The sequence below is a fragment of the Homo sapiens genome, chromosome 20 (assembly GCF_000001405.40).
Source record: "Homo sapiens chromosome 20, GRCh38.p14 Primary Assembly".
Lineage (NCBI taxonomy): Eukaryota > Metazoa > Chordata > Mammalia > Primates > Hominidae > Homo > Homo sapiens.
The window spans coordinates 31,996,198-32,008,520 of NC_000020.11; the positions used below are offsets into that span (position 1 = coordinate 31,996,198).

General features: G+C 52.7%; 1 protein-coding gene and 1 pseudogene across 1 annotated transcript in view; both read left to right on the top strand.

Moving 5' to 3' along the window:
• XKR7 (XK related 7) overlaps positions 1-7,190 on the top strand; it is a 35,237-nt gene extending 28,047 nt beyond the window's left edge. The window contains exon 3 of the mRNA NM_001011718.2: positions 308-7,190. Coding sequence (NP_001011718.1) covers positions 308-1,260 — 953 coding nt within the window. The 3' untranslated portion in view covers positions 1,261-7,190. The remainder of the gene's footprint in view (positions 1-307) is intronic.
• RNA5SP481 (RNA, 5S ribosomal pseudogene 481) lies at positions 12,154-12,275 on the top strand (annotated as a pseudogene).

The window sequence follows — 12,323 nt, forward strand, 5'->3', positions numbered from 1 at the left end:
ACCAAGACCCCTGAATCCTAACAGCCCCACACCAGAGTCCTAGATGGAGGCCAAACCCCCATCTTCGTCTCCCTTTATGCTCCCACCCTACAGAAGTACCCAGTCCCGTGCACCCTCACCACACCTCTTCATGGCTCTTGAAGCTCCCCACCTCCCAGACCTTCCCCACACCCCTGCTGATCCACAGCTCCTTTCCTCACGCCTCTTCAAAACCCAGCTCCTGACCCAGAACCCTCCGCCTCTCCCCAGACCCCAACCCGAGCCCGCCCCTAACCCAGCCCACCCCGCCCCTGCCCTGTCTCCACAGCCCTCTCCACCTCCGCCTCCCTCGTGTCTCTGGCCTGGACGCTGGCCTCCTACCAGAAGGTGCTGCGGGACTCGCGGGACGACAAGCGGCCGCTGTCCTACAAGGGCGCCGTGGCACAGGTGCTGTGGCACCTGTTCAGCATTGCCGCCCGCGGCCTGGCCTTCGCGCTCTTCGCCAGCGTCTACAAGCTCTATTTTGGCATCTTCATCGTGGCCCACTGGTGCGTCATGACCTTCTGGGTCATCCAAGGGGAGACGGACTTCTGCATGTCCAAGTGGGAGGAGATCATCTACAACATGGTCGTGGGCATCATCTACATCTTCTGCTGGTTCAACGTCAAGGAGGGCCGCAGCCGCCGCCGCATGACCCTCTACCACTGCATCGTCCTGCTGGAGAACGCCGCGCTCACCGGCTTCTGGTACTCCAGCCGCAACTTCTCAACCGACTTCTACTCGCTCATCATGGTCTGCGTAGTGGCCTCCAGCTTTGCGCTGGGCATATTCTTCATGTGTGTCTACTACTGTCTCCTGCACCCCAATGGGCCCATGCTGGGTCCCCAGGCACCTGGTTGCATCTTCCGTAAGGCCTCAGAGCCCTGTGGCCCACCCGCTGACGCCATCACGAGTCCCCCCAGGTCCCTGCCAAGGACTACAGGTGCTGAGCGGGATGGGGCCTCGGCGGGAGAGCGTGCAGGGACCCCCACCCCACCTGTCTTCCAGGTGCGGCCTGGCTTGCCTCCCACACCAGTGGCCCGCACCTTGCGGACAGAGGGGCCTGTCATCCGGATTGACTTGCCTCGCAAGAAGTACCCGGCCTGGGATGCTCATTTTATTGACCGCCGGCTCCGGAAGACCATCCTGGCACTGGAGTACTCCTCACCTGCCACGCCCCGGTTGCAGTACCGGAGTGTGGGGACTTCCCAGGAGCTGCTGGAGTATGAGACCACAGTGTAGGCTACAGTGTCCCAGCACAAAAGGGACAGGCTTGGCTGATCCCACATCCGCCGCAGTGTTGTGCCCCGAATTTCAGGGCCACCAGGCTAAGGGGGAGTGGATCTGTTGGTCCAAGGGTAGAGTGGCCCCACTCTTGGGTTCTTTCAGGGGAGGGGGCAGCCTTGCGGAGGCCCCAGCCCTGGGCCCCGTTTTCAGCCTTGTGGCCCATTCCCTAAATTCCCCTGACCCAGGGCCTGGGGAATCATCTGGTGCTACACTTTTCGAGCTGCCCTGCTTTCATGGGGCCTCCACACCTCTCCCCTGCCTGGCGTTGCCCATGTGTTGCCCCTGCTGGACTTGCCAGAGAAAGGGCACTGTCTGGGGTCCATGACCTAGACCCTGTGCTCCTCAGGGGTTGTGGAGAGTGGGCTGCCTCTATGGTGGGAAAAGATCTCTGAGAAGGATGGAGGTGGCCGTGGAAGGGATGGGGTGAGGTTGGAGCATTGTGTGGACAGGGATGGCGTGGCTCCTGTAGCATCTGAGGCCTGGAGCCAGGGCAAGAGGGAGCTGAAGAAGGGAGTTGGGGTGGGGCAGGGTGTTGGGGTGGGGGGCTGGCAGTGCTGGAGATGGATAGGAGAAAGAACTGGGGGGGGGGTCTAGGCTGGCAGAAGCATGGAGGGGTGGAAGACTTGGGGGAGGGGAACCTGCAATCCAGAGCATAGCGAACAAGAATGAACTCCTTAGGAGACGTCTCTTGTTGTGTTGTGGGCTCTGTGAAGGATGAAGTTCCACACACCTCAGGTGAAATGTTTGAAGGAGCCATTTTTTGTTCTAGATGTGCACCTGGAACGTGGCTTCTAGATACAGGTCTTCAACACAGCAGATAAGATGTCTGGAAAGATCTCTGGGCTCAAGTGCAGGTGAGGTTTTAGCACAGTTATCAGAGGAACTGATCCAGAAGCAGGCTTAGTTCTAGATTGAGTTCTAGAGTGCTAGGCTGATAAAATGTCCCAGGGAGCCACTCTGATCTGTGTATTCTGTTGTGAGGAGGAGGACACTGGAGGCCTGCTGCTCTGCTGTGGGGGATTCTAGCACCTGTCACAGTGGTGGGGGAGAAGAGGTTCTAGAGCCCAGCGTGAATGGAATTTTCTAGGAATGGGTGCTCTCATTCTAGACTTCTGGGGCTCATGGGAGCTCTAGGCCCCTGTTACCTTGGTCCATAGCCATCTTTCTAAAAGGAAATTGTCCTCAGAACCCCTGAGACATTTCAGCTGCCAACTGGTTCCCAGCTGGAAAAAAAAATAGCTCTGGGGACGTGACATGAATCCTGGCTCTCAGCCACTCTGCAAATGGGGCTCCCTGGAGCGGCATCTGGGAAACTGACTTGTTTTGCCTTAGATCTGATGACTCCCCAGGACCTGTGGTCTATTCCCATGGCCTGAACATCCTGGAGTGCCCAGGGGACTCACCCAGGGCCCCTCCTCCCACCTAGGACAGCCAGTGCTGGATTGAGGGGGCGTATGGGAGAGGGGAAGTAGGCAGTTCCATGGGGTGAGGAGACAGAGCCTCTAGCAGAGCTGGGAACCCAACCCACCCCCCACCCCCCCACACACACACTCCCACAGCAACTTAGGTGTGATTGGTGGGAGAGGACAGCAGCGGATGTTAAGGACAGATGCCAACCTGATCCTGGAGTGAGGTGGGCCATGAGAATCCTAGACTATGCAAATTAGAGGGATGCTTAGCCCTCCCTGGTTCAGCCTCTCTTGGGTTACAGATGGGAAACTGAGGCCCAGAGTGGCAGCCACTCTCTCAAGGTCCCAGACTCTGGGCTGCCCATCAAAAGGTGATGGGTAATGATGAATTGCTGGGGATGCAGGGTAACCCCAAAGGCAGGGAGGGCCAGACTGCCCACATACACACAAGCACAAGCACAACCATGATACGGGTCACCCTCCCCACCAGCACACAGGCCGAGATGGTGTACGCATCATCCCTCCTGCCAACACAGCAAGAGTGCTTTTCCTTCTTTCTGCTGCTAAGCACCCTCAGGAACGAGGCCTCGAGGGTGACGGGAGGTGGGAGAAGCCCAAGGCTGACCCAGGCCCACTCTGTTGGGTTCATCCATCCTCCAAATCCATCTTTGGAGGCTGAATTCACACACAAAGCCGTTGTGAGATGGGAGCTCTGAAGATGCGGACCCAGACCCAGAAACAGACTGTTTCTCCAGGGCCAACTTTGTGCCAGGAATTTTCACCCCATGTCGTTTCACTTACACTCTCCTCTGGTCACGACGTCCCTGCAAGAGAGGTATTATCAACCCATCTTACAGACGAGGAAACTGAGGCCCAGAGATGTAGCATGAGGGTCACCCTTGGCAAGTTATTCTCCTCCCCAGTATCCCAGAATGGCCCATCTGGCTGCTGCCTTCTAGAGGAAAAGTCCTAGCTGGGGTCCTTTACACTCCAGGAGACTCCCAAGGGGCAGGGATGTGCTGGCAGGGCTTGGCATGGTCTGAGGCTCGCAGGGAAGCCATGGCTACATTTTTGGATTTTACTCCACCCCCACTCCCCACCTCTTCTCAACCCCACACACCCTTCCCTCAGGGCTTCTGCCTGCAGGGACATCTGGGCACAGGAATGGCCACAGTCAAAGGGCCCAGGGAGAGGGCTGCAGGCACCTCCTCCTGCTTCTCACCCTCAGAAGAGTCTCAGCCCTTAAAGGACTCTCCACCCAGGAGCTCGGGACCAGGCCTGAGGCCCCCTGCTCCACTGGCTTGTCCCTTCATTTCACTGGGATAGAGGAGTCAGATGAGGGAGGGGTCCATCCCCTTGGAGCTGTTTTGTTTTTCTTTCTGTGACACAATCTACCTCAGCCAGTCTCTCCCCTAGCAGAACTGACCCCCCTGGTCCTCTGCCTCCTGTCCCCTGACCCCCACCCCAGTCTGGATGTTCAGTCCTTCCCTGTCCTTCCCACCCTGCCAGGGTCCTTGCAGCCCAGAGGGTCCCTGAGGGTTCCTTAAGCCACCTGCCCTCCACATCCATTAGACAGGAGAAAGTGAGACCCAGAGAGGACCAAGGACTCACCAAAGGCCACACAGGAAGTCAGTGGCAGTTAGGATTTCCCTGGGGATGAGAGGTAGTTGGGTGTGTCTTAATTTTGCCAGGAACAGAAGAGAACAGGATGCTTTGGGTACCAAATATGGCAGGCCCTGCCCTCAGTTACCTCTAACCCCAGGAGACCAGTGTCCCCATCTCCAGGGCAGACTTCTGTCTACCTGTTTTCTTAGAACTGACCCCCACGCTGTTGACTGTGTTCCCCAAACCTCTGCAGGCACCACACACACCCACATCACGGCGCCTCCTGGCACTGATGTGCCATGTGCCTTGTAACTGTCACCCCAGCTGAACAGCACAGACCTCCCCACTCCCCCACACAGGGCTCCCCAATGAGGGAGCCTTGCTTGATCCCCTCCTGTCATCTGCCTCATTCTTGTGTCTCCCCCAAATCTGCCTTACCCCCAGCCAGCTCCCTGCTACACCTGTGTCCCACAGAGGCATGTCACCCATGAGAGTCGGGAAAGACAGAGGGCAGGGAAGGTGAGGCCTGGGGAAAGTCCAGGCCTCTGGATAAGGGCTGAGGGAGCTGGGAATATCCAGGGAAGGTCTCGCTTGCAGTCAACACCCTCCTAAGTACTCGAGTTCTGCAGGTTCTTCCCTTGGAATTAATCTGGACCTGGAGTCCACAGAAGCCTCAGACAATAGGGAGAAGGTTTTCTGGGACGAAGGCTGCATGGGATGCAAACTCAAATGCCTCGAGATAATGAAACTAAGAGTAATGGAGACAATAGGGAGTGTTGGGGACTCTGGCAGACAGGAGAGTGAGTGTGTGCCCTGCCTGTAGGTACTAAAATTCAAATGTTTGGGAAACTGCTGGCCACTCATATTTGGCCCACGTGCCACCAGTTTGAGACTTACGGTTCAAAATGTTGAGAAGGTTCTGGAGTGTCCTGCCAAGTGGAAACCCCTCAGCGGAAGTCAGGGACAGAGGCTGTGGCTCCCTCTGAGACTTTGCTAGTCCAACCCTAAATCCCCATCACCTGGCTATCTGAGAACTGAGCCCACTGCCCTCTCAGCTGAAAAGGGAAATCTGGGGGGTCCACAGGGTCCCTGGTTTGGGAATCATCTGATAAGGGCTACAGGCCCCTCCAGTGCCTCATGGGGTTAGAGGCTGCTGGAGTCTTCTCCAGCTTGGGGGCCCCTGGTTAGGAGGAATCTACATTGGGTTGCAGGGGAGTCCAGGTGCAGGATGTGGACTGAAAGCCAGGACCCAAGAGTCCCATTCTGTGCTGGCCCCTGCCACCTTTGGCACCTGTCTCCCTCCCAGTTCAAGCTGTGGTGGGGCCTGCAGTAGAGGTTGGTAGGGGGAGCTGTAGTTTCTATATTAAAGTGCTTTGCAGTGTCTCAATGGAAGGGAACAAGTGGGTGTCAAGCCGCATGGGCAGTAGTAGGGTTGGGGTTTGAGCCCCCTTCCCAACCATAGAGGCTTCTGAGACCTGGGGCTGGGGAGGAAAGGAGCTTCAATGTGCCATTCTGGTTGGGGAGAGGATAGGACATTTCTGGGTCCTTGGCTGCTGCCGGTAGAGGTATGGGGAGGAAAAACTCTAGAGTGGGAGATGTGGAAGTGGAAAAGGAAGGCCCTGTCCAGGCCTGGCCTGGTTTCTGGAGACAGAAAACTCCCCAGGGGACAGAGAGGTTACCCCCTTGTGCTTAGCTTCTGCCACCCTTCCCTTCTCTGGAGGAGAAGGCTGCCCTCTCCTCAGCAACCCTGGCCTTTATTCTATGCATAACCACTGCAAGGGCACCCCTGGCCAGGCTGAATGGGTGGGGGTCCCAGGGCACCTGCAATAATCTCAGAATGGAGGGTATCCTGGGACAAAGAGGGGGTACAGAAGGTGCCAGGGGGGAAAAGGTGATTCCTCCATCTCTCTCTCACCCAAATCCCCCCAGATCGAATCTGACCCTTTTCCCTGGTCTCCATTGTGCTAAACCACCGAACTTGGAGGAGCCTCATATAAACATAGCCCCCAGCCCCACTGGCTTTCCGAACCCATCATGAAATAGCTGGAAGGTATCTGAACCGTTCCCATAGCTCCCTCATTATTTTCTTCCCTGAGGATCCTGTGGTTTAGGAGATTTTTCTCCCAAACCAGCCTCATTTCTTGAAGAAGAATTCATTTTCCCATATTAAATTAACTCAAGCTGAGCTTCTGATTGCAGATAAATGTTTCTAAGGCCTCAAGTCAACTTCTAGGGCTTGAAGGTGGGGGAATATATGTATTTTATTGAGTTGCTTAATACAAAATTCTCAAAAGCACTTGTGGGCACTCATTCCTGCCTTCACAGGCCCTCAGGGTCTGGGACCCCACGTTGGGAATCAATGGTTTAGACATCCAGCATCCTATTTTACTGAAGGGGCAAGCCCAGAGATGGGAGATGGCCAGCCCAAGGTCACACAGCAAGTTGGTGGCAGGGTGAGACCAGAACCCGGTTCTTTTGAGGGTCCCACCAGAATATCCCCAGCCCTGATCCTCCCCTCCATGCCCCTGGAACTCTAGGAATCACTAGCCATGCCTGAGGGGCTAATCTCCCTCTGTCAGCACAATTCCGAGTGATTCTTCCCCTCCCTGTCGTCTCTTCCTCCCTAACGGGCCCTCACCCCTGTCCTCTTCTGTTTCCTTTTCCTGGTCCCACCTCCTGGTATTTACTACATCTGTGCCATCCCTCATCCCCCTGACCCCCATTCACCCTCCGAGCTTCCCCCAGGAGGGGGAGGGGGAGGGGGCCCCGAGCTGGGGCCTCTTTACTGAGACTCTTTTGTACACCACAAACTTTTTGTATATTTTTAATTTTGCTGCGACATGAGATATTAAAAGTCATTTCAGTACGTGCTGCTTGTGTCCTATTGTTTTGGCTGTTCTGGGCCAGGGGAAGGAGATGAGGAAGGAGGGATAGGTAGGGTACCACTTGCCACAATCTCTGTGGCTCAAGAGAGAAAGGCCTTTGGCTGGGAGAGGGTGGGACATTACACAACATCTCCTGTTTATTGGGCAGCATTTCAATCAATCAACCAGAATCCTCAGGCCAAAAGTTCTACAGATTATCTCCAAACTCATTTTACAGATAAAGTGGGTGGGGGGAGATAAAGGGTGGGGATACTTGTCAGAGATCACAGAATGAGTCTATGACAAAATCAGGGCCCAGACTGAAGTTCCTAACTCCACTACAGCCAATACTTATTGAGAACCTACTGGGTGCCAGGCAGTTCTTGGCATAGTGAACAAGAAAGATATAAAACAGGCAAGGTCCCTGCCCTCAAGGAGCTTACATCCTATCCTAGGGGGTATTGCCTCTAAGAGGGCCTCTGTCTCCAGGGCTTCCATCCTAATCCAGTGGTTCTCAAACTTCAAAGTGCATGAGAATCACTTGGAGAAGAGGGGATATGTTTTAAATGCATATTTCTGCCTCCATAATCAGGGAATAGGTAGAACATGCCTGGAAATCTGCATTTTTAAAGTTCTTCAGGTGTGTTTAAAGAACATGCCTGGGAATCCTGCATTCTGGTGCAAGCGGATCTGAGGACCTGGACCTTGCAGATCTTTTCTTTTCTTTTTTTTTTTTTTCCAGAGACGAGTCTCACTCTGTCACCTAGGCTAGATTGCAGTGATGCAATCATAGCTCACTGCAGCCTTGTACTCCTGGGCTCAAGCAATCCTTTCGCCTAAGCCTCCAGAGTAGCTGGGACTGCAGGCACATGCCACCATGCCCAGCTAATTTTTAAAACATTGTTATAGAAATGAGGGTCTCCCTGTGTTGCCCAGGCTGGTCTCGAACTCGTAGTCTCAAGCAATCCTCCAGCCTTGGCCTCCCGAAGTGGTGGGATTACAGATGTGAGCCACTGCACCCAGCCAAGGACCACTACTTTAAAGTACCCTCCATAAACCTGATCATGGCATTTCCTTGCTTTAGAACCTCCCATGGTTCCCCAGTGCCTTCAGGATAAAGGTCAAACTCTTCTGCCAAACTCTGACTTTTGGAAACTGGGCCTAAAACCATCTTGAGTCTCATCTCTGACATAACCCACCTGGCCCCCATAGCCTCTCCATACCACCCATTTTCCTGTTTCCATAAGACTCTCCTGATTGCCATCCAACAGGCTTTCTCGGCCATGCTTTCATGCAGGTGGAGCCCCAGTTTTTCAAGGGTCCCCCTCCAAAGTGCCCAGGGAATGTAACCCTGACCTGGCCCCAGGAGACAAATCATGATTGACCAAAGACAGTGGTTTCCAAACTGTGGTCTCCAGAATAGTAGCACCAGGGAACTTGTTATAAATGCAGATTCTCAGGCCTCAGATCTATTAAATCAGCCACCATGTGAATGGGGCACAGCAATCTGTTTGACAGGCCTTCTGGGTGATTCTGATGCATGCCTACATTTGAGGACAATTGGTCTAAGATAATTCCCCTGACCAGGGATTGATGGGGGCAGGGGCATGTGACCCAATTCTGGTGAGGTAGGGACTGCTAAGTGTCCACCAGTATCCATGTTCCTCCTTTTCTATAAAGAGTTTTTAGCTAGGCACATAGCCACTCAGAATAAAAGACTACATTTCCCAGCCTCCTTTGCAGCTAGGCTCAGCTATGAACCAAGTTCTGGCCAAGAAGAAATTTGTGCTACTTACATCACTTTAAAGAGACAGATCATGTTCTCTGCTTTGTTAACCCTGCTGGCTGGACTGCAGCTGGGTGGAGAGAGCCATCTTGCAGTTGATAGCAGAACCACTGCTTGGTGGAACAAAATAGGAGACTTCAAGGTCCAGGACCCAGGGAGCTACCACACCCACCCTTGACTGTTACCTGAAGAAGAGAGAAACTCTCCTGTTTAGGTCCGTTATTCGGTCTTTGACACAGCCAAATATGTCCTGGCAAATGCATCTGGCCCCTGGCTTCTTAAGGGAAATCTTTTGAAGATTCCCGGGAAAGGTTTTTCTCCATGAAAGAAAGACACACAAGAAGGGGAAACCCTTGGCCTTATCTCGGGATGGTATCATGTGCCGCTCCCAAGGCCACTGCAGCCATCTTGCCAGGTTCGTGAGTCTGCTCAGGCTGCCATAACAAAATACCACAGACCGGGCAGCTTAAACAACAGAAATTTATTTCCTGACAGTTCTGGAGGCTGGAAGTCCAAGATCAAGGCATTGGCAGAGTTGGTTTTGTTACAGGAAAGGGCTCCCCATCCAGACCCCGAGAGACGGTTCTTGTATCTCACGCGAGAAGGAATTCAGGGCGGGTCCGTACAGTACAGGGAAAGCAAGTTTATTAAGAAAGTAGAGGAATAAAAGAACGGCTACTCCATATGCAGAGCAGCCCAAAGGCTGCTAGTTGCCCATTTTTATGGTTATTTCTTGATTATATGCTAAACAAGGGGTGGATTATTCATGCCTCCCCCTTTTAGACCATATAGGGTAACTTCCTGATGTTGCCATGGCATTTGTAAACTGTCATGGTGCTGGTGGGAGTGTAGCAGTGAGGATGACCAGAGGTCAGTCTCATGGCCATCTTGGTTTTGGTGGGATTTAGCCGGCTTCTTTACTGCAACTGTTTTATCAGCAAGGTCTTTATGACCTGTATCTTGTGCTGACCTCTGTCTCATCCTGCGACTTAGAATGCCTTAACTGTCTGGAAATGCAGCCCAGTAGGTCTCAGCCTCATTCTACCTAGCTTCTATTCAAGATGGAGTTGCTCTGGTTCAAACACTTCTGACAGTTTCTCCTGAGGCCTCTCTCCATGGCTTGCAGATGGCCGTCTTCCCACTGTGTTCTCACATGGCCTTTCCCTGTACACAAGTGACCCTGCTGTCTCGGTGTGTCCAAATTTCCTCTTTTCTTTCCTTTTTTTATTTTTATTGGAGTTGGAGTCTCACTCTGTCACTCAGTCTGGAGTGCAGTGGCGTGATCCCAGCTCACTGCAACCTCTGCCTCCCAGGTTCAAGTGATTCTCCTGCCTCAGCCTCCTGAGTAGCTGGGATTACAGGTGCGTGCCACCACACCCAGCTAATTTTGTATATTTAGTAGAGATGGGGTTTCACCATGTTAGCCAGGCTGATCTCGAACTCCAACCTCAGGTGATCTGCGTGCCTTGGTCTCCCAAAGTGCTGAGATTACAGGTGCAAATTTCCTCTTCATATAAGGACACCAGGGAGATTGGATTAAGGCCCACCCTAACTGCCTCATTTTAACTTCATCACCTCTTTAAAGACCCTATCTTCATATACTATTACATTCTGAGGTACTGGGGGTTAGGGCTTCAACAAATAAATTGGAGCGACACAATAACACCAGCAAAGTAAAAAATATAAAGGAATTTGATGCCAGTGTTGAGCTGCTCAAATAACCTGAAAACCCTCATTATTGGACTTGTTTTAAGAGAGAATAAATGTTCCTTCTTGTCTAAGCCACCTTTGGCGGGGTTGTCTGTTCCTTGCAGGCAGAACTCTGGCACTGTGTTTGCTCAAGCTGTTCCCTCTGCCCAGAGTAACTTTCCTTCCATTCACCCTTCAAGGTTTGGCTTGAATGCCACCGGCCTGGGGAATGGCTCCTGATTCTGCCTTTCCCAAACAAGTCGCTGGCCTGATACCAGAGTTCTTGGCTTGTGTGTCTTTGTCTCTAACCAGATCATGGTCAGCATGTGCACTGACCACCTGCTGCTAATATCCCCACTCCTGCCCATGGCAGGCATTGATAATCAATCCCTTCTTCCTGCTGGGAGTAGATCCGGTTTTTATAATCCTCTACGCAGCCCTCCAGGCAGCCCCTGCCAATCAACTGGAGGTGGTTCAAAAGAGATGAATCCTATCTGCCACAATTGTTAAGTCTTTGAGAGCAGGGACTTTGTTTTGCTCATCTCTTCTTTGATTCACAAGCTAATTTTAATAATATGTTATCATTGTGCACTTCTGTTCCCATTCAATCCCTGCAGCAGCCTTCCAAGGCAGGTACTGCCATTATCCTGCTTTTGACACGTGAGGGCTCTGAGGCGCTAAGAGATGAGGTAATGTGTTCAAGGTCATATACATTTGAGCCTATATCCACCATCTCCAACCACTTCCGCTGACATTTACTAAGCACTTCATCTGTTATGGCTCTGCAGGGAGCACTGCAGGGAATACAGAGATAGTTTTCTAATTTTAGTGGCATGCAAAACACTTATTGTCCTATTTGAGATTCCCAGCAGTTCAGTGATGTTTGGAGCTAGTCCAGGAATAATATAAGCTTCCATTTTATAGACAGGGAAATTGAGGCCCAGAGAGAGGAAAAGGCTTGCAAAAGCCAGTCATGGAGATGCCAGAGCAAGAGACCACATGTCTCATGCCCGGCTGCTGCTCCAAGGGTGGGAATTCTGGGCTGGCTCAAGGGGTTAAGTTGGAGCTTTCACATCCAGAGCAGAGTCAGGAATTGGCTAGCACACCCTGGCCTCTTCCTGTTCGCCTGGCAGGCTGAGTGGAGATCTCACTTCCTGAGCTGGGGGGTGACCCGGCAGGATGCAGGGGAGCAGGAGGGAGTGGCTGTGAGAGCCAGCACTAAGCAACCTGGGCCATTTCCCCTCCAAGGGAGGGGAAGGAAGAGGAAGGGCTAGTGGCTAGGAGTCTCCTGTAGCTCTCACACCCAGAAGCGCGTTGGGGAGCTCTGACCCTCCCTTCAGGGCACTGATCTTGAACACCAGGCTTTCAGAAAAAGCCTTTCAGTAGAATCCAGTGCATTGGTACTTTACAGTTTCTAACTGCTCTTCCATCCATGGCCTGTGTCTTTCTGGCCACAGCTCTGATGAGCAGAGCAGGGCTTTGGGAAATTATTATTCCCATTGGAAAGATAAGAAAGCTGACCGATCTCGTCTGATCTCGGAAGCTAAGCAGGGTCGGGCCTGGTTAGTACTTGGATGGGAGATAAGAAAGCTGACGCCAAGAGAGGTTACAATGAGCAACCTGGACCAGGTCATATACAGCAAATCAGTTCCAGAGCTTAGGTCT